The sequence below is a fragment of the Homo sapiens genome, chromosome 10 (assembly GCF_000001405.40).
Source record: "Homo sapiens chromosome 10, GRCh38.p14 Primary Assembly".
Lineage (NCBI taxonomy): Eukaryota > Metazoa > Chordata > Mammalia > Primates > Hominidae > Homo > Homo sapiens.
In genome coordinates, this window is record NC_000010.11 from 124,662,928 (window position 1) to 124,689,971 (window position 27,044).

Below are 27,044 nucleotides of genomic sequence, written 5' to 3' on the forward strand. Positions count from 1 at the left end.
TGCTTGGTCACCGCACCTCAAGCCTGGAATGCCCACCTGTCTACAAGCCTAGACCAGGTGAAACAGGGTCTCACACAGAGCAGGAACGAGAAACGGTCACTGAGTCCTTTGCACACTGAGGGGCAAGTCTCAAATCTAAGCCTGTGCCTTCTTGTCCTTGTCTTTCAATGTCATGTGAGTGTGGACCCCAGAAGACCACAAGGCAGGCTGCTTCTCCTCCCAGAGCCTCATCCCTGCCTCTCAGAGCTGCAGTGGTAGACAGGACACACACATAAAGTGCAAGCCTGTGCATGACCAAAGCCATCAGTGCTGTCATTTGTGTGTTGACCAAAGTTCCAAGGAGTGGGGCCTAGGCCAAAGGAGGTACAGAGCTCTGGCTAAGGTTCCTGACATGAACCACACTGCCCTCGTTCCTAGGAAAAGAGACAATGCGAGCAGGAGACCAACATCAGAGGCTAGAGAAAGGCCAGCACTGGAGCGGCTGCCAAGTAAGGCTCCGGCCCCACCTCTGCAGAACAGGCCCAATCCGTCCCCAGCTGCAAGAGGAGCCAGAGGAGGGCTGCCCAAACCAAAGACAAACCAGAGGTGGCCTCCCACAGAGGGCCCATCTCCCATATTCAGCACTTTCCATATTGAAGGAGCTCGCGATGTACTTGGTGGTCTTGTTAAAACACAGACTCTGATCCGGCAGGTCTGGGGTGGGCACCGAGGTTCTGAAGTCCCATCGTGCTGCCAGGTGATGTCTTCGTGCCGGAAGGTGAACTGCACTCTGGGAGCTGGAAGCTTTCCATGGTGATTTTGGGCCTTTAACAAGGGTTCGTCATGGGCCTTCATTTACCCCAGGGCTCATTTTGTTCCAGGGCGCCTACCAGCAGCCTATATTCCCTGTGCTTCTACCCTCGGGCATCTCCAGAGACCGATGCTACTGCTCCTCACCTCCTCCCACCAACCCAGGAGGCTCTGGGCCAAATCTCCCAGGTCTCCCGAGCCTGGCACGGGACACCTGTATGCCCAGCCTCCCTGTTCGTCAGTGTACCCCATGAACACTGCAAGGTTTAAGTGAGCTAACACCGTGCCAGGCCCTGCGGTCAGTGCTGCCTGGATGCCTCCATGCTTTCCAGGGAGCTTGGGTACCAGGTTCACACAGCACCAGGCACTGAGGAGCTTGAGGCTCAGGCCTCACCTGGCCAAGACACACCTGTGGTGAGCAGGTGCCGGTCTCCACTTGAGAAGGGATGGAGCTTGCACACACTGGCACCTCCCCTAGGGCTGGCCCCCAGGGCTGCCTGACACCAGCAGATCAAGCACAAGACTTGCCAGAGAGCAGCCTCCAGCACCTCCATGGAGTCCCTGAAGGGAGGTTCAGAGCTGGGGCCCGCTTACCCCAGGCATGGGAAGTGGGCAAAACCCCAGCCAAAGCAGGCCTCCGGGGCCAAAAGCCAATGGTGGCTGGTGCACCCTGGCATGCTGCTCGCCTTTAGGAAACAGGTCAGCTTGGGGAGCTTCAACACTGGGCCGGGAAGGCAGAGACCTGGGCTCCAAGCCCAGATCCGCCATCACAATCTGCCTTTCTACCAGGGGCTACAAGGCCCCCAAGTCTTCAAAACCCGCAGGGCTACAGCTCTGAGGGTAGAACTCTGCGCAGATGGCACAAAGCTAGCCAACTCTCCGGCCCTCAGCAAGTCACCTAAGGACGGCAAAAGACAGGACCTGGCTGTGCCCAAGGCCAGGCCCTCAGTACTCATGCTCAGTGGTTACCCCAGCCATCCACAGAAATGGGATAGTCCCGTATTCCAAAACAATGATTTATTAGGCACTTGCTGTATGTAGGCACTGCTTTTACCCAATTTTCAGACCAAGAAACTGAGGCACAGAGAGGTTAAGTAGCTGCCCAGGGCAGAAGTCCCCATCCTCTCACTGCGTGGGGCCAGAGGGAAGTCCCAAAGCTTCTTTCTGCTGCTGCTCGATCCAGGACTGTTGCCTCTGGCTTTCTCGGCTCCTGATTTCTGACTCAGGTTGGCTCCCCAAGGACAAACCTGACAAAGCTCCTTTTTCCCTGATGAACTTTCCCCTCCTGGTAAGGTAGAGGGAGAACCCACCTGACTGGCCCTACAGAGGCCAGCCCCAGCCAGTGGCCCTCGCTTGTGTGCACCAGGCTCTTGGACCCTCATTGAGAACCAGGCAAGAAATTCCCAAGGGCTTCAGGCCCCAGCAGTTCACAGCCTCCAGTGCTCTGCACAGTTCCACAGCCCCCTTTCTCCACTGAAGGGTACCAAAGGCGTGGGCATAGCCTTCTCTTACTGCCCCAAACTTGTCTATCACCTGAGTGAGGTTCAAGTCCCTGGCCACCTGCCCAGGGCCATCCTTCGCTGCCCACAGAATAAAGCCTCAACTCTCCAGGTGGCTCTCCCAACCCCAGTTCCAGCCCAACTGTCTGCTCCTGGTCTTAGGAACATCTATGTGCCTGTGTCTCCTCTCCACTCCAACTGATGGGCTGCCCAAGCCTGTTCCCCTGACTAGAGAGCTTCTTAGCTCCCCTGCAAAGGAGCCAGTGCTAGGCCCTGCACATGACAGGCAGAACTCAAAACGTGCCCCTCGCTTCCTACTCCTGGCTTCCTAGAACAATCCCATATGCATACATGGAGGTCCTGTGTCCATCATCTTATTTCGTCCTGGCAACTGCTATTATGGATCCTGCTAGATGGGTGAGAAAACCAAGGCTCAGAGGATACAGCCCTGGGCATTGGTCACGTGGGCCGGTGATATGGCCCTTTCCACGTTTCTAAGTGATGACTTGTTGGTGCTGTGACCTCCAGGAGGCCAGGGCTAACTGTCCTCTCCATTGCTGCATCCCTGGTGCCTACAAGGGCCTGACTCACAGCAAATGCTAGGTAAATAAATAGTGGCTGAACAAAGAGATTAATCTAGAATTGAATCTCGATCCTCAGAGGACAAGACTAGCTCATCTTACTGTGACTCGGCTTATAGTCGGCTACGTAGACACAGCTGTCTCCACCCCAGCCCTGTAGCCTGCACCTACCTTGCAGGTAAGGATGGGGTCTTGTACACGCTAGTCTTCCCTGAGCCCTGGCACAGGCAGTTGTATACAGCTGGTGTTCAATCAATGCATGCTGATTTGAACCAGCTTCCCAGGTTATTGGCTGCCTAGACTCTGAGGGCCCAGAAAGTTCCCCTGGTGGGCAGGGCCACGTTCCTGAAGCTCCCAGGCTGATAAGCTAGATGCCCTGACATTCCTGTGAATCCCTCCCAGAAGGGTGGGGCAAACCAGAGCCACAAATGCAATTTTCCAGGAAAACTATGGTTAAGAGGCTGCCAAGCCCCAGAGACAGGATAGCTCTGGAACCTTCGGCTTGGTCCAAGGCCACCTCTGCCACATTCCTTCTATTCTGGGGCCTTCCCTCCACCTGCCACTGCAACCTTCCAGGCTCACACTCACTTCCAGAGTGCTGGTAGATGGGGGCTCACCCCGAAGAGCTCCCTGTGGATGGGGCTTGCAGCTGGCCAGCTGTGTAGAACCTGACGCGAGTGGCTCGAGCAGGGGACATGTGGGGACAAAGGCACAGCCCAGTCATGAAATGCAGGACCACAACCGTGGAAAAATGGCCCAGGGCCTGTCATGCTGCAAAGCTGTCTTCTCAGCACCCCCTGATGAGAAGCCCCTGTCTTCCTGTATCACCCCGTCTCCCACCACCTCCCATCTCCCCAGCCCTGCCCCGGCCACACGCCAGGAACAGCAGGCTAAGCAGGGCTGCACGGGTACAGTAGAAAAGAGGCCTCAGAGAGCAGGGCAGGATGCTCAGAGAAACAGTGAACTCCCCGGGCCTCCCGGACCAGCCCCACGAGGAGGGTGGAGCAGGTGAGCCCAGGAACCTCTAGTTCCACCATGGACAGCCTGTGGGCACCAGACGCTCTGGTCCTCAGGTCTCCTGGGGCCTGCTATACCCGAGGCAGAGGGCACAGCCCAGAGCACCTAGCACCTCAGGCAGGGGCCTCTTGCCCAGCCCCTCCTTTACCAGCTGGCATTGGGCCCTTCCAGAGGAAAAGGGTCTATGGCAGCACCAAGTGGGAACCAAGGCTGACCCCCAACCCCCCCACACTCTTATACCCGTACCCCAAAGCCCCACTCAGCAAAGCTACATGCAGTCACTGAATGATGGAGCAGTGGCCAGGCCAAACTGAGACCTGCTGTCACCTGACACACCAGTGGATCTCTGAAACCAGTAAGAAAAAAGAACATAAAATAGTGCATTCATGATTTACTTACATCGATGACATGTGGAAATGATAGTATTTTGGAAATACTGGGTTAAATATACTATTCAAAGTCATTTCACTTTCTTCTCTTAATAACTGGCTACTAGGAATTTTAAATTATATATGTGGCTTGAGTTCTGGTTTCACTGGACTGCTTCCTCTAAGACTCAGCCACCGCCTGTAAAATGGATAACGATGTGCCTTCCTCATGGGGCTATCTGGAGGAGAAAATACAACAGGTGAGTTTCTTCTGCAAATCATCCCCCACCTCACCTGCCAACAGTCAGCAGCCCACAGCTGTGGCCTGGCACTCCACCTGTGTGGTCAGAGGCTGCCCTCTGAGCCTCCACATCCACAGGGCTGAGGAGGACCGGGCAGGGCTGGGAGAGGCTCCTGTTCCTGGTGCCTGGGGTGCGAGGCACCTGACTCTCCCCATTCTCGCACTACAGCCTCCCAGCCCCGCCCGGGGTCACAGGGCAGAGGGCTGCTCTCTCCCTCACTGGACTGCCCTCAAGCTAATGAGAATAATGCCTCCAGAAATGCCTCAAATGGAAGATTTCATAAGAAGCAGAGACCCTTCTGGAAGATCACAAGCAGCAACAAAATAAGATCAAGAACACCATGCTGGTGCTGAGCCTCTCCAGGGGGTACTGCACAGCTGCCTGCTGTAGGAGCTCTCCCTCATCAGGCTGCTTCACTCCCACGACATGGGGAGGAGGACACTGAGGCCCAGGGAGGGGCAGCGACTTGCTCAGGGCTACTCGGCTGGTGAGGGGCACACCAAGCCCCACACCAGGCCCACCTATCTCTGGAGCCCAGATTCCTCCTAGCAGGGGAGCCCAGGCCAGACACTGCCTTCCATTTCCTGCTGTCCTAGGTTTGGAGCAGATGCCGGCATGCATATTTGTTCGTAGTTTTCCCTGCGTGAATCAAGCTGAAGATCTGGTGTCTCTGCTGAGTGACAATTAACCTCACACCATTTCAGATGAGATATTTTTTCTTGCCAAACAGTTAATGCTGCATAATCAGCCAACATCTGCGGAAATGCTCTCCCCAAACACACGGCCATCTCGCCCCTTGGCCTAAGCTGTTTCTGAGCAGGACCACAGCCCCCACAGCAGGGTGTTTCTAGCCACCGGCTCCCCTGCCGCAGGGTATTTATTCCCATGTTTATTTGCCATCAATTCTCAGAAAATTCTGTTGCCCAAGACTGTTCTAGATTACAGTGAGATGGAAACTCTCTAGGTGAATCAGGCTTGTTTAAAGCTGGCTACCAACTAGCAAGGGGGATACGGGCAATGCACTTTCAGTTAGAACTGCCTGGCAGACAAGAGCACAGCACTGTGCCCATGCCAGGCAGGACCTGTCCTTCCACAAGGGGACACAAGGTACAGAGCCAGAAAGGCACGACAAGACCCAGGCAACCCACAAGGGTGCTCTCCTTGTCTCATCTTCCTAGGGAGGCACAAGAGCAAAGAGGCAGCTGATAAGTGGGGCCAGGGGTCATGAGGCAAGAGGGGACCTCATGGAGGCTGAGTGGGCCCAGCAAGTGTGCACAGAACAGGCCTGGCGGAGCACGGTACGGCACAGCCACCGTTACAGTGTGCCCTCAAACCACCTTCCCCTTGTGTGCCAAGTTTCAAGTATGGGCACTGATAGGCCTTTTCCTTCTGGGACACAGAATGCCAGGTTTTCCTGCCACTCCTTCCCAAGGCCTGATGTGCCAAAGGCGCCTCTCACGGAGGGAAGTGAGTGGAGGGCATCCGGTGCTGCCTCCGGAGCAGCTGCCAAGAGGCCCGAGAGCGGAGGCCAGCCAGGCCCCTGGCCTGGGGAAAGTGCAGGGCTGGCTTGGACCTCCTCCCCGCCATTCAAGACAAGCCATTTTGGGGGGTGTAGGGGGTAGAAGGCAGTGGCCAAGGGCTCAGAGGTCTTCAGCAAAGTCACCAAAAAAATGGTTCACAAACGTTCTGCTTTGGGCAGTAAGAGGATTATTTCACATTCTGGATGTGTCCACTTGAGGGATGTAACGCGCACTGTCCACACACCTCCGCTCAGTGTGGCAGAGCACCAGATCACTGGGCCCTTCTCCCTCGTGTCCCGGACTTATACAACAGGACAGCTGAACCGCAGTGCCAGGCAGAACTAAAGCGCTCTTCCAGAGAGGCCATGGTGCTGGCCACAGAGCCTCTCTCTGAGCCCCGTGCCCGGCTTTACCAGCCTGCTCATAGCTCAAGAAATGCAGAGTCTGCTCAAGGGCTGGGAGGAGAAGTCAGGGCCACCGGGGATTCACTGATCCATCAGGTGATGGGCCCGGAGGATGTGGTAAGTAACAGCCACACATTCTGAGCACCACCTGAGCACCAGGTCCTGGGCCAAAGGCTGGGAGCAGCCCCACGTGAGGATGTCACCATCCCTACCTGACCGTCAGGGAACCCAAAGCCTAGGGCAAATCCCAGACTTCCCGGGGCCCTGTGCTTCACAAGTGGTGGGGAGCTCACCCCAGGAAGGGAGCCCTATGGAGACATGGGGGCCCACGGGCTGTCGGGGCCAAAGAGTGAGTGGATCCCACTCACCGCTCTGCCACGCAGCCAGCAAGTACATGGCCTCGGCACTCCCTTTTCTTCCCTGGAAAGTAGAACAGGAGGAGCCCCTCACAGGGTGGGTGAGGACCACAGGGTGGGTGAGGATTACAGGGTGGGTAAGGACCATAGGGTGGGTGAGGATTACAGGGTGGGTGAGGATTACAGGGTGGGTGAGGATTACAGGGTGGGTGAGGACCACACACCCGAGGGAGGACGCCCTGCAAACACCGGCCCGTGGATTAGGAGTTAGTGACCCACTTCCCAGAGCCAGGGTGAGGCTGATGTGTGTGCAGATATGGGAGGGGAGAACTCAGACACCCCTGTGAGCCTCAGGCCACTCGCTGCCACTGTCCAGCAACAGAGGGCGGGCGGTGACACTCATCACCATGAGAGGCACTTGCAGAGGTGCCTGACTAACTTCCTCTGAGCCTGTCCCCGACACTGGGGCCCTGCCTAAGCATCTCTCTGGTATGCTTTCACCCTCATGTGCCTTCTTGCCGTGACCTCCTTGAACCGGTTTCCCTGGGGCCGTCTGCGGTCGAACCCCCAAGGTGGAAGATAAGCATAGCAGTCAGGTAAGGCAGGTGACTGAGTATCCCATCAGATCCTGGCCCCAGAGCCCTGATGGCATTCCAACCCTGCGCTCCAGGCAAAAAGCCCGCTCCTCACCCCAGCCTGCAAGGCCAACCGTGATGGCCCTGCCGACATCTCAAGCATCCCTTGCACCCCCGACTCAGGAACCTGTCCCCCCAGCTTCACTGTGCCCTGCGCTCACCACGCCCACTCCGACCCCAGTCACCGCAGCCTCGCCATGCCCTGCACTCACCACACCCACTCCCACCTCTGGGGCTTGCCTTCCCTCTACTCAGGACATTCTCCCTGATTATCTTTGCAAAGCTGAACACATCTCATCATCTGTGACTTTGTGCCAATGTCACCTCCTCAACAAGGCCTCCCTGTCCCTCCAATCTAAAGCTGGCCACTTCCCATTCCACCTCCTCTCATCCTGCCTGGTGATCCAAACCACGCTGGCCTGCTGGATTCTCATTAGCACAAATATTGCCATCAGAAAGGGCCCTGCCTGCCTGTTGTAGGCCTGAATGACATCCATCCCCCTTTCTGCATTGCAGAAACATCCCCAGGGCCTAGCTGAATGCCAGGTGGCCAGCACACTCCAGGCAAGGATCTGCTGAGTGAAGAACTAGGACGGAGCTGCGATGCGCGCTAGAAGAGATCTCCCGCCCCGCTGGAGAACGTTAGACAGCGCTTAACTGAAGGATGCTGAGCAGAGCCAGGCTGGGGGACAGAGGCAGCCGTACATCTCCCCGTCTGCTTCCTGTGCTGTCACCGTCACCCAGCCATGCCGCGTGACCTGCAGGAGCAATCTGCTCCATTCACAGCAGTTGCTTCCCATTTGCTGCATTTCCAACATTCACAGAACCAATTTCATCACCTTCCCTTTCTGCGGGACCAGCTAGCCGGCGCCCCTGCCTCTCAGGTCTTGCCCCAGCCCTGTGCGGCCAATGGACTCCACGCTGCCAAGCTTTCAGAAGTGCAGTCTCTGCCCTGGGGTCCCCTAGCCCAAGGTGGGGAGCAGCTTCCTGTAGCTGCTTCTGCATGATATTAATACTTCGTTTTCTCTTCTTGGCTTTTCAGATTTTCAGAAACCTAGCTAACCATTGCTCACAGTGAATTCACCTGGATCTAACGGGCTGGTTTCTGTCCCCAACAGGCCCTGGCTGATCCAGGAGGCCTGCCTCACCCACTCCACCCACAGAGCTCCAGCAGGGAAACAGCGGGGGCCTCCATACCGCCACCACTACTCCATGAGGAGTAAATGCAGTCTGTGGCCCTTCAGGGAGAGGGTGGGGTGCCTGATGACCTCTGGTGACACATTACTGATGTGAGCTCGCGTTACTGCTCACAAACTAAGCCTCTGGTGGTTGCATTATATTTTGCAACCAACTGTTGCTTTTGTTTTCCAAGAGTTTTTTTTTTTAAGCCACTCCTCCCCCTCCCAAAAAGGAATTATCCAAGAGCTCTACTATGTCTAACTTTCAAAGGAGGCATTGTTAATCTTTTGGCCATAAATAGGCAATTAACACCCACTCTGAGTCTAGTCAAACCAAGTTCCCGCCAGCATGGGGACTGCAGCAAAGGGTTTGTTCTTCGTGTGGCATTTGCTTTCTGATTTCTTGACTGTGGCTTGAAGTTGCAAGAAAGAGTGGTAATTCCGGATGGCTGATACCACAAAAATGGTACATAAATGGGCTCCTGTCAGCAGGAGAAATTCTCTACTGATGCAGTGCCTGGGGCGACAGAGGCTCATGCTGCCAAAGGCGAAGTGGGCTAAAGTAAAGGCTTCACACTGATGGACCCACAAAGGGCAGCAGCCTGCATGGTGTCGGGAAAAGGCCCGGTCAGGCACCAGCCGTGCTGGGCTCTGGGCACAGCTCCGTCTCCATCCCACACCCATCTCCGTGATGCACCTATTTGTGCTTCCTGCTCTGGCCCTCACTGGGCTCTCAACAGCCCGCAGGCACCATGCTAACCTCGGGCTGGGAGGGGCTTCCCACGAGGCGTTCTCCTGATGTCCCGGATCAGGAAGCAGGAATAAGGCAGGGAATGCCGAAATCCTCCTGGGGTTGGCCAGGCCTCCCTTTCGCTGCATCCTCTGAGGCCCAGCTGGGGATTACTAGGCTTCATTAGGAGAATCGAGGAGGCCATCACAGGCCCCTTGTTTCCCGGAGCTGCTGTCCCAGCTGTTGTAAACTGACCAGATGTGGCACAGCTGAGACAAGATCCAGCGTGACAAGCGCTAGAAACCATGAAAGAATCCTCCTGTGGCCCTAAGCTGCCCCCAGCCCTTCTCCAGCCCAGAGTTCAGAATGCGCAGCCACTTTCAAATGGACAAGAACAGAGAAGCTTGGGCAAAGGAGTCAGAGGTTTGCAAACTGAGGGCTGACAGGAAAGGGTAAGGAATGGGGCCTCCCCAGTGGCAAGGAGCAGCTGGGCTAGCAAATCACAGATGTGCAAGGACTGGGGGGTAAGACAGTCCCATAGATACCTTCATACAGAGACAAAATAGGTCATGGTGATCCACTGGATTTCAGTTCTACTGAGAACAGATCAAGAAGAAATACAGTCAAAGTGAGGGCTGCAGGTTAAATAACAAGAGGGACTTACAATGAGCACACACTAAACAGGGTAGCTTAAAGAAAGTTGCCACCTTTGGGGATTAGGATAATTGATTCTCTGCCCAGTGAGGCCTATGACTAGGGTGAGTTGGAAGCCAGCCCTGCTGCTTTCACCTCGAGAACATTTCTTGAGCCCCTTATGCCTATCACCACTTCCACTGCCCCCACCCTTGTCTAGCCCACCTTCATGTTTGCCAATAGCCTCCTGCCTGGCCTCCCCACCTCCCCCAGAACCTACAGTCCATGCTGCTCACTGTTGTCCCAAAGGAGCTTTTTAAGGGGTGCTATTGCTCCCCTGCTTAAAACCCTCTAATGCTTCTACTCTGCACTCAGGGTTCCTGTCATTCATTCACTCTGCCGTTGCACACAAGGCAGGATATCAAACAGGGTGTGGAACTTGCCCTTAACAACCCACCCATGAGAACTTGCCTCGGAAACGTTCAACCCTATATACTAGAACAGGCTTTCCAGACATTTCTGAAGCAGCGCCTTGTACTCGACTCAGCATAAGTTAACCCCGAGCCCTCCTGCATGGGAAGTTTCATTGGCAGGCGGGGACACCATTGCTCTGCTGGGTACAGCAGCTCAGTGGGCACTCGCCCTAGGACCTGGATCCCTCCTCCAGGTCAGGCCCTTCCTAATCCAGGCTGAGCTGGTACCTCCTGACTGAGGGACCTGAACTCTCAATGCCATCTCCATATGACACAAAACTAGTCCCTGGGCATCTGTGGAGTCACTGGGCTAGGAATGTGCCCATCTCTGCTGCCCCCACAAGCCCCAGACTCACCTAGGGAGCTTCTGGGACCCCGAGGTACTGGGGCTCTGCCCCAGACCTGCTAATTCAGACTCTCTTGGACAACGTCTAGGAACCTGCAGTGTGTTGGCTTCCCAGATAACCTGACGCCCATGGCTACACCTGGGCAGATGCATGCATGGTCAGAAACCCAAGGCTCAGAGAAGCAGGGCAACGGGCTCACAGTCACCACACAGCCAGGTGGCAGAGTGCCTCTCAAACCCAGCTCTTCTGACTCCAACAGCAGCTGTGTTCCAACGACAGTGCACCTCTCTTTCCCTTAGGATATGAGAGGCCTCTACCACGTGGCAATAAGGCAAAACCCTGCCCTCAGAGTTACAGAGCCCGGGACTCATACCCCAGCAGCACCGCTCAACAACTCAGCTGCGCCCTCAGGTGAGGCCTTCTTCTGGGGAGCAGGGATGCGGCAGAGCACCTCAGCGCTGCAGAGACAAAGAATTCCTGAGGGGAGGACAGTTCACACTGGATGAGCAGCAGGCCCCTCCTTTTGCCAAATTTCTCCCCTTACTCCTAAAGTGTGACTCCCAATATGGCAGCCAACTTTTACTGAGCACGTGTCCTGGGCACACAGAACTAAGCTCCAAGCGCTTCATACAAATGAATTCATTTAATGAGACATTTAACACAGTGAGAGAGGGTGTCGCCACCCTTCCTCGAGGATGGGGAAAATGAACCATGAAGAGGTTCCATCAGTTGTCCAGGATGAGGATGGGGCTCACTCCATGGGCAGGGCTCCAGGCTGAGGCCCTGCTCTCCCACCAGCCCTCTGTCTCCTCGTCTCAGCCCACGCTCCCTGCTTCTCCTTCAGAAGCCTGGGAACGACATTAGGGTTTCTCTAAACCCTCCTCTGTGGGCCCTTGGAGTTGAACCAGTCAAAGGGGCAAGAGCCAGCTGACCCACAAGCCTTTCTTACTCTGGCTTCCATGAAGCAAGACTGGCGATGTCCTCAGATGTGGTGAGGCCTCAGCTGGTAAGGCCTTGTTCTCCCTCTGGCCCATAGGCTGTGGCCTCCCAAGGGCAGCGCCTGCTAGGGCCTCCCAAGCCTCTTTGCCAGCACCAGAGCAGGGCCTGGCAAGCCAAGAGCACTCCCAGCATGGCCGGGGCTCTCATCTGAGCGGCTGGCTTAGGAAAGGGCCCCTACTTCAGAGAGCCGGGGCCTCCCAGAGTCTCATAGCTTCTCAAACATTCTCTGCTCAGGATGGCTCTCAATTGAAGCGTGGAAATCACCAAGTGGCACTAAAAGCTGCCTCCTTAGCAGTCCCCAGATGAACTCCTCTTCCCCAGGAGATCAAAGCTATTGTGGCAACACTCGGCCCCGATCCCAGTGACCTTAAGCAGATTGCTTGTGCAACCTGAGGGCTGTGACTAGAGACAGAAAGGAGGGATCCAGGCGGAGGCTGCAGTGAGTCGAGATCTCACCACTGCACTCCAGCCTGGGTGACAGAGCAACACTCCGTCAAAAGAAAGGAAAGAAAGGGAGGGAAAGGAAGGAAGGGAAGCAGGGAAGATGAGGACTAGAGCTGAAACTAGTCTCCTGGAAGCCTGATGCCAGCATGCGCCACAGCTGGCAGGATCCCGGCCCACCAAGAGTGGAGAGCCCAGGACACTGCCCAGAGCAGCAGAGGGTGTGGGGCGAGCTACCATGGGAGCAACAGAAGAAAGGCTGCAGCAGGCCCGGGCTTTCTTTGTTCATCAAAGCTGGCATTTGCTGAGTGCCAACCGTGTGCCAGATCCATGCGACATGATTCCTCCCACACTCATGAGCAACAGGCACTGCCATTCCCATTTTACAGACACAGACATGAGGCCTGGGGCACACAGCTCAAAAGTGGCAGAATGGGGACACACCCCCAGTTATCTGACTCCGAAGCTCCCACTTCTCACTGCCACACTCTCTATGCCCCATGTGCATCAGTCCTCTGGAAGGGCCAGCTGATTGGTCCTCACCCAGGACCAAGCACAGCAGTGGGAGCACTGAGCCTGGGGTCAAGAGGTCAGGGTTCCCACCTTCCGAGGTGCCTCACCATGTGACTTTGGGCAAGGCCCCAACTCTTCCTGTACTCTAGAGGCTTCATCCTCAAGTGAGGGGATTAGAACAGAGATGGTGGATGACGTTCAATTACCCATCAATTAGCAATGGCTGCCAAGACTGCCAAGAGGAGGATTCTAAGACCTCCACTAAGTTCACCTGAAAAGGCTGCCGTGATTGATTAGCAATGTCTGTCAAGAGCACGGAAGGAGGAGTGCTAGTTCAGCATCCAAAGCTGCCCCCTTGACATCCCTAAACTCTGACAGCCCAGGTCTTACAGGCTCTCTTCCTTTGTTCAAGCCTATCCTAACTATCTCTAAGTCAGAAGCAACTACTCTCGTGTGCCTGCCCACAAAAGTTTTTGCCTTTACTTGTATTTAGCATTTCTTTCATTGCAATGGGCTTTCTAGGGCTTTCCATGCCTACCTCTCTCACTAGATCTTCACACTGTCTGCAGTCTGTGTTATAAGGGGTGCTCCACCTCTGAATTCCTCTACTTGCCGTCAGCACAGCTTCCCACCCTGAGAGGAAGGGTGCTGAGGGTGCAGGGCGGTGGGAACCCTAAGCAGCTGAAGGTGAACAGCCACTGGCAGGATGGACAGGAAAAGTCACAAAGGTGCAGGCAAGCTGGGCCTGCCGCACAGGAACTTGGCCAAGGAAAGGCACAGCTGGCCTGCAGCTGCTGGGGGTGCCAGCGCAAGAAGTCATGTAGCCAACCCCATGGCGACCAACAAGGGCCACTGTCCCTCAAAGGCGGCCCCACCAGCACAAAAGATGGAAAGTGGAAGCTGGCTGGGGGGGCTTCACCTGGGGAGGACCTGTCCAGCAAAGAGCTGCGAGTCACTGATGAGCATACGCACAAGCTCTCCCAACTTCCTGCAGCAACCCCTCATCCTGCCCAGTCCCTGCGGCCCCGCCCACCCAGCTCTCCTGGACTCACCCCCAGGAATACGGCTCTCAGAGGCTTCCCAAAGACGTGCTGGCATGCTGGTTTCTCTCATGCTTCTTTTCTACCCCAAACTGCCCCTGGCCAGCTTTCACGGTCCCTCAAACATCTGCTAACACAACAGTTGCTGCCTGTTCTGAGGCCTGCTCAGGGAGGTTCGGGGACTCAGTGTGTGGGCAGCCGCAATCAATCAAACCTCTGTTTCGACATCCCGACCCCTCCCCACAAACATCTTGCTTCTGTTTGAAGCACTGTTGAGAAGTACAATTTGTTGCTCTTTCAAGCTGACCAGCTTGGAGTTAAAAATACAGCAGGGACTATGACACCTAGGGGGACTGCATTCAATGGGTGAACTTTTTAATTGTTGCTTTTTTCTGAAATCTTTGCTCACACACACGTGATCCATGTCTAAATGGCCGCGTATGGCTCAAGTCTTGCTGGGAGCCAACCAATGCTGGGTGGTCAAACCAGGTCTCAAAAAAGCAGTAAGGAAAATGTCAGCAAAAGTCCTGCTAATAAACAACTCACACCCTCAGGCTGGGCCCTGCCTTCAATGGCAGACATTGTCATTGTGCAAAAGGAAGGCTGCAGCCTCACAGAGAACACCAGCCAGGAGGGCCAAAAACACCACGTAAGGAGGAAAGCTGTGCAGGAGGCCCACGGGGCCGGGCTTGCGCAGGGATCGCAGCATAGCCAGTCCTCTGAGCTGCCTTTGGACAACCTGCTCTGTGGAACCAAGTGGTTGTAATTACAAGTACAGGGAGGGCGGCCACTGCTGGACTAGGTCCTTGCGTCATTTCCCCCATTAGGGCTTTCCTCGCTACAGTCAGCCTCCCCGACTCAGGATCCAGATGGCCGGCTCACCTGCAGCCTCATTCAGCATCTCTGCCTGCTCTCTTGGCACTGGGGTTTTCAGAAGACATGAGCAAAGACAATCTGAAAGCAATATCTACACCCCACCCTGTGTGTCTCATCCCCGACAGACAAGAGCCCCCACTGCCATTAACTGGACAGCTGTGCCCCAGGGACGTGGCTAGGAAGGGGCAGGGTGGCCAGCAGGCCCCCAGGATATTTCCACCCTAGTTTCAAGGGCAACAGACAGGAGAATGCTCACACACGGCGAACTCCCTCTGACAAGGGGGGGTGAATCCAATTGTCACCATTTCATAACCCTGGGCTCTGAACACCGAGTTGACTACAGGCTGAGCTGAGCTGCAGGGCAGGCCTCCTTCCCATTTACAAAAGAAAAGCAAAGAGGCAAGAAGATGAACAAACAAGACAAAGAAAGTGGCGTGAACAGAAAAGGGAGGATGGAAACACAGGGAAAACACTGGACAAACAAAGAAAAACAGGCATTCTTACAGCAGACTGAGGGCACCTCCCAGGAATGTCCACCCTCTGCTCCTACTTCTGCCTCTGGAGACACCCAGAAACAGCCCACACCCTCCCTCCAAGTCCTGCGACTGTGACGATGATCATAAGTATCTGTCAGCACCCGGCCTGTGCCAGCCAATGCACTGGGGGGAGTGTGTGTACATACAGATACAGATACACACACACGCATATCAACAGATGTGGACACATACACATATATAAACACACACCCATATGGATAGTGCATTATCCACACATGTTGTTTCCCTTGCTCCTCCCACAGTCCTGTGGCGGTGGTGGCATCTGCTGCACAGACATGTCAGGCAATTTGCCTAGGGCTTCCAGTCTCTGGCCCCACCTCTGGAGGCCTTCTGGTTTGTCAATGTCACCTTCTAAATGCAGATCCAAAAGTGAACACCATGCCCAGAAAAACTCTGATGGGCACAGGGACCAAGAGATCTTCAGTTTCCTCAAGAGAGACTGGAATGGACAAGCTCTGAGGTCACATCTCCTGATATCCTCTGCTTCTAGCAGAGTCTACACCCCAGGGCACTTGCTCCTGCTGAACTCAACTGTGGATACAGATGAGGGCAGGGCCTTGGACCTCAGAGCTTCCTGCCCTCTTACTCTCTCGGGTTCTCTCCCTGGACCCTTTCCTGCTGGCGGATTGGAGGGGCTCCAGCTAACCACAGTCTATCTGGCCACACCGAATGATGGCCAGAGGGAAGCCCCCGTGTGCTCACACACACCCTCAAGATCTGCTCTAGGCCCCAGTCGGGACCTCTAGGGGAGCTGCAGCTTTTCAGAATGGCCAGCTGCTCCAAAGGTCTAACTGAAAAGGCCCTCTGCAGCTTTAACCCGAGGCTCTCACACACCTGGCCTCAGAACCCACACACGAAGGGCGCCTTTACAAGAATGCACAAGTGGAGCTCTCACCCCCAAAGGCGAATGTGTAAACCAAGATCAAAAGGCCCACGAAAGAGAAGCCAGAGCCCAGCGGAAGGAAGCGTGGGCCACACCTGGGTACCAGCCTACCCTTCCAAAGATACAGAAAGCCCAACTCCAAGCCTTGCTTCCATGGGCATGCAGAGCAGACCCCAACCCCTTCTCAGTGGTCCCAAATGTTGAGTGAAGCCACAGCACGCAGAGGCTGGGGTCTGTGGCCAGTGGTCTCACCTCACTGGCCATCTGGCAACACGTTAGTCCTTGTACACCAGCAACATGCCCAGCTCATCAGGTTCCCACGCACAAGGCCGTGCACTCGCCAGGGCTCTTGATAAATACACAGGGATACCCTAGGCCTCGTTCTCAGGGCCCCACAGAAAAGCAAGGTCCACCTCCCCAGGCTAGAAATCATCTGATGGCAGAGCCAAAGCAGGCAGAGCCCCATGGAGAGAGGGCTGACCAGGGTCTAGACTCTTGGTGGGGGCATGGCTCAGCGTCCACGGGCCCAGCCTCAGGGCTCTGGCCATAGGCCTTGGGCACACACACTTTCCAGAGGCCCCTCTCTACTTTCCCTGTGCCCGAGACCCACTGCCAAGCAGGCGGCCAAGGACAGACAGGCTGAACCAGAGCAGCCTCCTCAGGCTCCGCACACCTTCCCAGATCTGGGAGGCCTGCCTGGGGCTGATGAAGCCATCTATACAACTGGGCGCAGCCCCACTGAGCAATGTATTTTTAAATAGTTTCTAACCAAACGAGGTCAAGAAATGTCTCCAATGATGCCAGTGGTGTTATTCCAACTGTGGCTAGTAAAATATAATAACATGCATGTTGTTTTTGTTACCTATCTAGCTGATTAGGTAATAAAATATGCTCAGTATTAAAAATTTAGCTGAAGCCATTATCATACCCAGAACTCGGGGCTCTTGGTTTTCCTCAGAAGTCACCCAAATCTGTCACCTTTCCAGACTTTTAACCTATTTAAATTTTTCTGGAGAAGGGAAATTCCTCTTGGTGTCCAATAAATGTGTTCAATCCCTGTCCAGCTAGTAAAGTCAAAAACGTTCCACTACACAGCAAAAAGATTGGCACACGCCTAGAGCCACAATGGAAGAAATGGAAACTAGCTGAGAAGAGGCAAGAGCTCTGCCCCACACCCCTTCAGGCTCTCCCCCAAGCGGATCCCACTGACACAGGGGAGGCACAAGCATACCACCATCTTGCCCTCCCATAATGCCCCAGCCAGTGCCCAGGCTCTTGAACAAAGGTGGCCAGAAAGTTTGGACTCTGGGGCCAGGTATGCTTTAGACTTAAGACACCTGCACCTCTTCTTTTCTGGGTAGACCTCTATGTTGGGAGTAGGAACTAAAGGAGAGAAGAGCAAAACCCCATGAAGAGAAACTGCATGTTCTTTGTAAAAGGAAAGAAGACCCAACTGAGAGAACAACACTGGGCTTGGAAGGAAGTCAGCTATGCCCACCTGAAACGCAGCGAGCGTGATAAGCCTGCCTGCCGTGGATCTGGCCATAATGCTGAGTGACCAAGGCCATCCCCTCCAACCAACCCCTCTGAAACCATCTTCGTCAACAAGAAGATCTTTACCCCTTGAAACCCAGCGAGACCAATGTTTATATAAATAAGTCCAGAAAAGATGATGGTCAGACCGTGGCATTAAGCAACCGATGGCCTCCTGGATGAACACAGAACCAACAGTGTTGTGTCCCATCACATCCGCCCATCCTTGAGTCAGAGGTCACAAGGGCCAGCACCACTTCCTCATCCCCAGCCAGAACCAGATGCAGCCAACTCTCGGGCTCAGAGACGCTCCTGATGACAGAGTATTAACTCCAAGTTCATCTCATTCAAATCAATATCCAAGATCAGTGTTAGCACAAGGCAGAGCTCCAAGACAAAGAGGATAAAGTCCAAGTGACAGGGGCGTGTGGCCAGATACTTCTTCTACAGTGAAGGGCAAGGATGATTGCAGAGGCAGCTCAGAGGATATTGATCACAACATCCTGATGGCCTCATGTTTCAACAGTATAATCAAAGGAATAAGTCCCCCCAATCGCTAGCTCTTGGAAACCATTACCCACAACCCTGATCTCAGGATCAGCATAATCCAAGGGACACTGAACCCCAGTGTGTGTGTATATCTCTTGCAGCAGCTGCAGGGGTGGCTTCCTGGGAGAGACGGCTCCAGTGAAGGGCCGGAGGGGATTACCAGTGTTTGGTCCAGTGAGTCTGCCCACCAACACCCCGCCTCTCACCATCCACCTGCCCTTGTACCCCTAGCACTGAGCTCACAGTGAAAGGGAATATTTGCTTGTAAATAGAAATAAACGCTTTTTAAAAACCAACTGGAAATAATCTTTCTTTGAATAGGATTTAAAAAAACAAGGAAATTAACCCACTCCTGGGTATTTCTGAAACTGGCAATCTATGCTTGTCTAGGACGGCCCAGAACCAGCAGAGGCTCCAGTGAGCACCAAGGTGACTCCAGGCTGCTGGGGCTCTTACCTGTGCCATCTTGGCAAGGTCTAGAGAAGGCCTCTGCTCTTGCACTTCTTCAGGGCGCCGCCTTTTAACACCGACCTTCTTGTCGTTAAGGACACACGGCTGGGAGCGGCTGCGGGAAAGGCCGCTGGAGCGTCTCGCCAGCTCTGGTGTTGAGGCAGGTGTGCTGTTGGCTGAGGGAGGACAGTATTCCACAAAGGAAAACTGCTCATGTGAGCAAGAGAGGGACCGCTGCAGGTCCAGCCGGCCTCCTCCCACGGGGTGCAGGTCAGGGCTCCAGGTGTCACCTGCCTGTCCACACGGGGCTGAGCCTGGCACCCCTTGGCAGGGCTGCCCTCCAAATCGGTGGTGGAGTCCTGCCTGGTCGCAGGGTGAGGAGAGCACGTTGGCCCGGGAAGGGAGGCTGAAGCTGGAACTCCTCTGCATGGTGCTGAAGCCGTTGGAATAGCGCTGGACGCTGCCCCCGCTGTAGCAGCGTCTCTTTTCCACGGGAGTCCAGACTTTGGAGCCCAAGGGCCTCCATGATGTCCGGCAACTGGACATCTCATCGGAGAAGGACAGTGAGCGGCACTGGCGCTTGCTAGGGGGTGCTGAGGGGTTCCCGTTGTGGTCGCTGATGCTGAGGTCTTTGATCAGACTGGTCACAGCGCAGGCGGTCACTGCCTCCCGGTGCCATAGTGAGCTGTCCTTTTCAGGCAGGCATTCCCAGATGCTGGTGCTCGGTTGGTCAATCTGAAGAGGGCATTTCCTGTCCAGGTCTCGCCATCTGTCATTTTCTGGTTCATAAATGACAAGGAGAAAACAGGATTTGAGAAGACCTTCACTCCAGCCCTTTATTATCTCCACACCAACAGCCCGTTTCAAACACAGTATCTTAGAGCCAAAAGGCCCTTAGAAACCATCCAGTCCAACCTCATTTTACAGATGAGAAATTGAGGCTGAGAGAGGAGAAGTGAATCCCAAGGCTTTGAGTTGGAAGTTGGAAGCAGAGCAGGGCCTAGAATCCAGATATACCCCTGGGACTCCTGATATGGTTTTCTTTCCAGTGTACCACACTGCCTCCCAGGAGAATCCAAAGCAATATTTTTCATCCAAAATGTTTCTCATCTTATGGGTGGGAAATCGACTTGCCCTGAACCCTGCCCCTGGCTGATGAGAGAGTCGGGACAAGACATCTGTTAAGTGCCACCAGGTTCTCTGCAGCTCTCAGGACTGGGACTCGATGCCCTGGCAGAAGACCACAACCAAAGATGTCTCAACAGCTCGGATGGCCAAGGCCAAAAGATGGCTGGGGCACTGCCAGGTTAGTTCACCCCAATTCCACCTTGAAAGCCTTTGCTGATAATAGAAGCTGGAACTTGTACTGATTTAGGTCACCTCCGTCAAAATGCTCAACATCAGCGTCACCAATGGCTGCCAATCACAGCACTTTCTCTGTGTTCACTCGATTTTTCACTTAAAGCAATTAAAATCTCTAAGAACAAGTCTTGGGCTTCACAGACTTAAGGGAACCACTTAAACTTATGTATTCAGGTCTTTACTTGAATACACAAATAAATAACCAACCCTGCTATGAAATGCTACATTTGCACACGAACCTTTATTTTGTGAAATATTCAAGAACTATTTATTGTTTTTCTACTATGGAATCAGGCACCGTGCTGGGAATTTTAGGAGATGCAAAGATAAATTTGACATAGTTCTTGTATTCAAGTTTACAGTATAAAAGCAAAGTTACAAAATATGCCATGATATCAGGGAACAACCTGTTAGTACTATTTTCTCGAGCCTATATATATTTATAAATCATGCACATGTGAATGGCTTGAGTCAGTCAAGAGAAGAATAGAAGTGAAACCTGAAATGATATTTGGTAGGTATTTAAATGCACGCCGGGTCTCTCAGCAATGCAGATCACTCACTGAGCATTCAGCTGGGCTGTGTAATCCACACAGCCCCCTGAGTGCATGTACCATCCTGGACCAGATCAGGAGACCAAGGCTTGGGGGACACTAAGCAACTAGCCCAAGGCCACACAGCTAACACCAGACAGGATGTAAACCCAGCTTAGTCAGGCCCCAGAGCGCAGGCCCTTTTCACTACACTGCAGCGCTGAGGTGGACTGTGGGTGAGCCTGACTCTGGCCCTGGCCCTAAGGAGTTTATGGGTCAGGCAAGATGGGCTCAGGTGCAGAAAACTGAGATTTAACCCATGAGTGCTCGAGGCAGCAAGGACTACAAACCTATCTCCACTACCAGTGGCCACTCCTCAAAGGGCACCAAGAGACATACCCCAGCTGAGCGTCACAAGCAGCAGCTACTTGATTGACTCAACGGGAATGACCTGTGCAGACCAAAGGGAGGGCCAGGAGCCCAGAGAAAAAGCCGAGGCAGAGCTAATGGTGGTTCTCCTTCCTCTTGGGCATCCTGCCAAGGTCAGCAGAGCTAACGGTGGTACTCCTTCCTCTTGGGCATCCTGCCAAGGTCATGAGATACAAACTGAGGGGCTGGGGACCCTGACAGGGGACACTGGTAGAACTGTCCAGAGGCTGTATTCATAGAGGGCCTCAGAAGCTGAAGATGCAGGAGAGAAACCTTCCAAAAGCCCAGGCAAGCCAGCTGCAACAAAGCAAGACTGTCGCTAAACATCCAATTTCTTCATCATACATCGTTCATCTCATCTCTGAAATTTCCCAGGGCCTGAACACAGCAGGTCTCAATATCTGCTCCTCCAACTGGATTGGATCAATTACGTCCAAAAATCATCCAAAGTACCTCTTCCTGCAAGTTGCTTTAGGTTGTTCAAACATGCTTCACCACCAAGGAAACCATTCCCTTTGGGTATTCACCATTCTATTAAATCAGTTTCAACTTGACACTGGTCAGCAGTTGAAAGTCCAATAAACTAATATACAGTAAAAAAAAATTTTTTTTTGAGACAGGACCTGCCTCTGTGGCCCAGGCTGGAGTACAGTGGCATAATCTCAGCTCACTGCAACCTCCACCTCCCAGATTCAAGCTATTCTGGTGCCTCAGCCTCCTAAGTAGCTGGGATTACAGGCATGTACCACACGCCCAGCTAATTTTTGTATTTTTTGTAGACATGGGGTTTCACCATGTTGGCCAGGCTGGTCTCAAACTCCTGGCCTCAAGTGATCCACCCACCTTGGCCTCCCAAAGTGCTGGGATTACAGGCATGAGCCACCGTGACCAGCTATAAAGTAAAATTAAAGGAAATAGAAACTCTTGTTGACACAGTCACAACTATCCCAGTTATCTGATTTAAAAGAAAACAGAAAGTTATCCTAAGAAAAAAGTGAAGATTTATGTATGATGATGTTCATCAAAATGATGAGTGACAGCAAAATGGTAAACATAGTTAAAACGTCTTACAGTAGGGGCCGGTTAAATAAATTATCAAGGAATAACATGGAGCATGAAGAAGCAGAGTTTCAAAGAATATTAAATGATGTGGGGAAATGCTAACAATATAAAGCTGAGCATGAAGAAACAGGATATAAAACTGTATAGAGGGTGTGATTCCTATTTAGCAAAATATGTCTGTTGTATGTAAAGGTAAGAAAGAAATAAACCGAAATGTTAATAGTGGATTGGCAGACAGCTGGTTGGTTAATTTATTTTTTCTCTTTTGTTCTTCTATAGTCTCCAAATGTCCTATGAGAAAAAATGTATTATCGAATATGTGGGGGATGTGACTGCCAAGCCCACAGGTGCTGTGCCCTTGCTTAACTCAGGAAGTGAGCCAGGGTCGGAGCGGGGGCCCACAGCCCGCCCTCTGCTGGGTTGGCTCCTCTGGGTTTTCAGGAAGTTGCCATACAAAATGCTGGCCACTAACTTCTCTTTTGAGACAAGGCACTGAGGCACCAGATGGGCCAGGAATGTGGCCGGCTGAGGAAGAAACCAATGGGCTTGGCACAGAGCAGCGAGGGTGGCCGGTGCTCACGGAGCCTGAGACATACTACAGACTGCGTCTCCGCCAGGCCTCGGGGAAACCCGTGACATGAAAAGGAGTTGATCCCACTCTCAGAGGATACCATTTTCTGTTCCATTTTTGCACCACTGGCCTGGAATCTTCCCCATCTCTAGGGAAATCACTTCCAAAAGGGGAATCGGGAGCCAGCTAAATAGGAACACACCATCCCTCCCATCTGCCTTCCTTTCCCATGGCCAGCCTGCGATCTTGGTGCTTCTTGAAGGGACCCCTCAGGGCCTCCCTACTCCAGGCCTACCTCCTCACTGCCTCTAGAGAACTTTCTGAAGCCCCCACCTATTGTGGCCCATTCGCTTCAGCTGTCAGCCACTGTTTCCGGGAAAGAAGACAAGCATTTCAGACTGGCACCCGGGCCCATCTCCACATCATTCCCCACAACAAACCCTACACTCCAGGTATCAAACCTCCTACGACAGTGGAGGTCAGAAAAGAATCATATAGAGTCAAAACCATCCTTGAAGAATTCCTGAACCAGCCCACAAAGTACAACTCCTCCCCCCAGCTTTGTGTAGACAACCCAAAAGGGTAATTCTTATGCACCAGCGATTCTTTATAAAACTAAAGTTTAATAACTAGACTGCAGGAACAAGCACAGATAAGATCTATATGCAGAAAGGCTGGAAGTCCAGCTTGCTGGGCCTTGAGGTAACTACCAAAACCCAGGGGCATCAGAGCTGGGTGATGAATTCCTACAGGACCTACTCCTTCTGTGTTACAGAGTAAGCCTCTAAGGCCTATAAGATTTCTTTGTCGTAGGGAAGATTCGAAGAGTCAGTTTTTAACTGTGAAGAGAAGTTGCAGCTTCCCCCAAACATCAGCTCTTTCACTCCTTTGCAAAGAACATTCCACACCTTTGCAAAGGCCTGGACCGTTCTTTTCCTGCCTTTATCTTCCTTTCACCAAGAGTCTCCTCATTTAAAAAGCCAACTCAAAGCTCCTCTGAAGATACACCTTTCTCCTAGCTCTGTGATCGTACAGCACGTATGTACCTGAACTTTAATTACTGATCTGCGTACACATCTACTTCTCCTCCTAAGCCACAGACTCTCAAGCATAGCCCCAGTGTGGCTCCCCAGTGCCTAGCACAGAGCAGGGCACACAGCAGACCTTAGTTGGTGGTGCATGAATGAGGTAGTGGATTGCAAACTGCAGATAAAAGCTACAAGAGGATGCGGTGTTCTCTGGGACTCACCTGTCTTTTGTCCTTGGCAAAGGTGAGTCTTCCTTGGCCAGGTAAGTCCAACCAGGACTGTGCCCTGAACCGTCTGCCCTACCTGGGCCATGTGGCCATGTGTGACTCAGCAAGGAGATGGGGTTGACAGAGTCACGTCTAAAATACTTTGGAAAAGCAAAGCACTGCTATTGTGTATCAACACCAGCCAGGTGACCACTTGCTCAGTCTGCAGGCAGATAATATTGTAATTGTTTCTATCTTTATCGCTTTGAGAAGTACAATACGAGAAAAGTAAAAACAATCAAGGCTATGTTTAGCCCTGTGTTTTCCCCATTCGCTCAGGGAACAGAAAGCGATTTGTTGGGTCAGATCACCAGACAAAAGAAACAGGAATAGAAGCTAATTTTTCATGGCAAACTGCCCCAAGCGCTAGGCCCTGACGTCACACCATACAAAGGGCCTCGGTAGGCCTCCGAGAAGAGGATACAGGGTGCCCCCGCCCCCTCCATTCAATATCACTTCTGCACAAACAACTATAACTCTTTCAAGTCACAATTGTCATGGATGTAGGAGTCTACTGAGCAACAGTCACTTGGTGTAGTGGAAAGGGCAAGGACCTGGGTTCAAACCTCAGCTCTGTAAGTTACTCAGTTCCTCGTAGCTATTATGAGAATTAAATAGGCATCTCATACAGGGCATAGAGTAGGCTCTCAAAAACAGCAGTCATCATAAGGATAATTAACGGTACTGGAAAACGCTCTCCTAGCTGAGGCTTGACTCAGCCAGAGCTGCAACAGGGTGCCAGCCTCTGTGGAATCCGGCTGGAATGGAAACCTGGCTTCTCTGACTAGGATTTCTCAAAGTGTGACTTCTGGGCCACCTACAGGAGCATCCTTTGGGGGTGTTTGTTAAAATGCAGGTTTCTAGACCCCGTCTCTGACTTGGTAAATCAGAGTCTCTCTGGGTAGGCATTTGCATCTTAATAAGCTCCCCAGGTTATTTCAATGCAAAAATGTTGAGAAATGCTGTTCTGGAAAGCAGATGACATGGAGAACTGAGTTCTCAAACATCTGTCCGAATGGCGGCCCATCCAGACCATCCAGCACCACTGCCCAGAAGCTTCAGGAGGGTTGACAATTCTGGTCTCTACAAATTTGAATTCATAACAACACTGAAAGTTGGTGTTTATGTTTTGGTTTGGGCTAATTCCAGGAAGAAGTATGGAGAAGGATCACTTCACCCATCAGAGGTTTCACAGGACAGGATGGGGACCCTCAGGGCTTCCTTCTCAAGCTACACAACATGCTCTTGATGGACAGCCACTAGCAAAGGCCTTAGAAGCTAACTCACTCCTATGAACAAGATGAGTGTGAAGCCTCCCACTTTCTCCCTGAGAACACGCAAGGGCCCATCAGCTGTGTCCTAAAGATACGCAGAAGGGCCCCCCATCCATCTGCAGCCTGACACCAAGCCCCTGGCAGACCTGAGCAGAGCGCGATGGCCCACAGCCTGAGAGCATGGCACCAGCCCATTCAGTTCTATGCTGCGCCTGTTGCTTTAGCCTTTAGGGCATGTAAAGCTTCTCCACGTCCCCACTGAGCATTATCTTCACAAGTCTGAAATGATACACACGAGAGCGTGTGCATTTGTGTGTAGCGTAAACACACAAGAGCCTTTGCCTGCAGATGGGAGGGTGAACACACAAGCATCCCTGGGCCCAGTTCTCTCACAGTCTTGGACAGACTAGGTAAGCAAGGTCTCTTCCAAAGCTGAGGTTTGATGACTGAGCTTGCAGTTTCTGACTTTTGACTATGCCACAAAGAACAGGAGAATGAGTTGCCTACATATGCAGAGACAAGGACTCAAATTCCCAAATTCGCACTCACAAGGCTCTGGTCCTGCCACCGTTTGACTAAGAAGGGCAGAAGACTGCTGTGTGCACAGATCCTAGAGCTTGAAGCAAGAAAAACACTCAGAGGAATACGAATGGCATTTGACCTCAAATGTTCTTATTTCCATTCCTACCCTTAAATTTGAAGGAAAATTCCCAGGGCTCCAGATTCTTGGGGGACTATAAACCTTCATATTTTCAAAAGATAGAGGAGCTTTATAGCCCTAGAGAGCTCTGTGCTATGTTTTCGATGGTGCCTTATGGTCACATAAGTACAGAATGTGGTTTCCAGAAAAGGTTAAGCACCTCAAGTACAGACCAAGATACGAAATGCCCCGATTAGCAAGCCTGCTGTCAGATCACAACCAGCTGACTCATTCTTACATTTCACACCTATCTACTTGTGCTGACAATGAGTATCTCTCCCCTGCCCTGTAGGTTGGGTTGTGCTAACTTGGCCTCAGGGCCACAAAGATTCTATGCTTGGTTTGGGGAGAAGCTCACCAACCCATCAATGGGAAAATCAAGAGAGCCGAGGTGTCTTTCTGAAGGCGGTTTTGCTAAACTGATCTTACGAAAAGAACATGGGGGTGGGGGGGACACAAGCAGGGCAATGACATGAGCTCCCCCACAATCGTCTCATCTGTTTTTAAATGGACTTTAGAGCCTCTGGCTCCCTGGAGAGTCTCTTTGCCTGTATGACCAGAAGGAGACTCAGTTCAGAGCAGTGTCAGGAACAAAAAGTCCTCGGGCTTTGCCTGCCAGGCCTCAGCTTCAGGTCCTGCCCACGCACCTGGGATGGACTGTAAAATGGCAGCTGTGTCTTGGATTCGGGGACAGCAACACAGGACACCAAGTTCCTCACACAAGGCACAAGGAACAAGGGATTCCGATGGCTAGAGGTAATGCACCATCAGGCCCCACATCCAAGGAAGAAGGCAGGCGGGTCTGCAGGACTCTGGGAGGTGACAAAGAAGCTACTAAGGACAAAGATCGGGGTTCAGAGCCATTACCAGGGCCCTGCCCTTACCAGCAGAGTTGGGGTGGCCCATGGCAGCTGCCACTGCTTCTGGGAAGTCTTTGCTCTTACAAAAAGATGCCCAGTGAGATCCTCACAGTTAAAAACCACACCAGATGGGGCACTGGGAAGAGGGGCCTCAATCTCACCATCTGCACAAGGCTGGGTAGACTAGGGTCTTGTGACAGCCCTTTTGGGTCTGACCAGGACTTCCTATTCTACCCCTCAGCTCCCACAGGCGTTCATAAATGTACAGGGAACAGCTAGTATTTGC

At 52.8% G+C, this 27,044-nt stretch overlaps 1 protein-coding gene across 1 annotated transcript in view, besides 9 other annotated features; it reads right to left on the reverse strand.

Annotated features, from left to right (window-relative positions):
- The window catches only part of FAM53B (family with sequence similarity 53 member B), a 125,087-nt gene that overhangs the window by 43,636 nt on the left and 54,407 nt on the right, over positions 1-27,044 (reverse strand). The window contains exon 4 of the mRNA NM_014661.4: positions 18,680-19,452. Within this exon, the coding sequence (NP_055476.3) occupies positions 18,680-19,452 (773 nt within the window). The remainder of the gene's footprint in view (positions 1-18,679; positions 19,453-27,044) is intronic.
- Positions 784-1,441: an enhancer, noted in NCBI's record as "H3K27ac-H3K4me1 hESC enhancer chr10:126352280-126352937 (GRCh37/hg19 assembly coordinates)". NCBI's record gives its function as "activates a minimal SCP1, AML or CMV promoter by ChIP-STARR-seq in primed H9 embryonic stem cells {active_cell/tissue: H9 hESC(primed)}" and the evidence as "EXISTENCE:reporter gene assay evidence [ECO:0000049][PMID:30033119]".
- Positions 7,721-8,254: an enhancer, noted in NCBI's record as "H3K4me1 hESC enhancer chr10:126359217-126359750 (GRCh37/hg19 assembly coordinates)". NCBI's record gives its function as "activates a minimal SCP1, AML or CMV promoter by ChIP-STARR-seq in naive H9 embryonic stem cells {active_cell/tissue: H9 hESC(naive)}" and the evidence as "EXISTENCE:reporter gene assay evidence [ECO:0000049][PMID:30033119]".
- Positions 8,593-8,887: an enhancer, noted in NCBI's record as "tiled region #1593; K562 Activating DNase unmatched - State 8:EnhW". NCBI's record gives its function as "activates a minimal TATA promoter and a strong SV40 promoter by Sharpr-MPRA in K562 cells {active_cell/tissue: K562}" and the evidence as "EXISTENCE:reporter gene assay evidence [ECO:0000049][PMID:27701403]".
- Positions 10,527-11,150: an enhancer, noted in NCBI's record as "H3K4me1 hESC enhancer chr10:126362023-126362646 (GRCh37/hg19 assembly coordinates)". NCBI's record gives its function as "activates a minimal SCP1, AML or CMV promoter by ChIP-STARR-seq in naive H9 embryonic stem cells {active_cell/tissue: H9 hESC(naive)}" and the evidence as "EXISTENCE:reporter gene assay evidence [ECO:0000049][PMID:30033119]".
- Positions 20,530-20,639: a silencer, noted in NCBI's record as "silent region_2912". NCBI's record gives its function as "represses an Ori minimal core promoter by ATAC-STARR-seq in GM12878 lymphoblastoid cells {active_cell/tissue: GM12878}" and the evidence as "EXISTENCE:reporter gene assay evidence [ECO:0000049][PMID:35858748]".
- Positions 22,378-23,349: an enhancer, noted in NCBI's record as "H3K27ac hESC enhancer chr10:126373874-126374845 (GRCh37/hg19 assembly coordinates)". NCBI's record gives its function as "activates a minimal SCP1, AML or CMV promoter by ChIP-STARR-seq in primed H9 embryonic stem cells {active_cell/tissue: H9 hESC(primed)}" and the evidence as "EXISTENCE:reporter gene assay evidence [ECO:0000049][PMID:30033119]".
- Positions 24,194-24,273: an enhancer, noted in NCBI's record as "active region_4174". NCBI's record gives its function as "activates an Ori minimal core promoter by ATAC-STARR-seq in GM12878 lymphoblastoid cells {active_cell/tissue: GM12878}" and the evidence as "EXISTENCE:reporter gene assay evidence [ECO:0000049][PMID:35858748]".
- Positions 24,847-25,348: an enhancer, noted in NCBI's record as "H3K4me1 hESC enhancer chr10:126376343-126376844 (GRCh37/hg19 assembly coordinates)". NCBI's record gives its function as "activates a minimal SCP1, AML or CMV promoter by ChIP-STARR-seq in naive H9 embryonic stem cells {active_cell/tissue: H9 hESC(naive)}" and the evidence as "EXISTENCE:reporter gene assay evidence [ECO:0000049][PMID:30033119]".
- Positions 25,976-26,055: an enhancer, noted in NCBI's record as "active region_4175". NCBI's record gives its function as "activates an Ori minimal core promoter by ATAC-STARR-seq in GM12878 lymphoblastoid cells {active_cell/tissue: GM12878}" and the evidence as "EXISTENCE:reporter gene assay evidence [ECO:0000049][PMID:35858748]".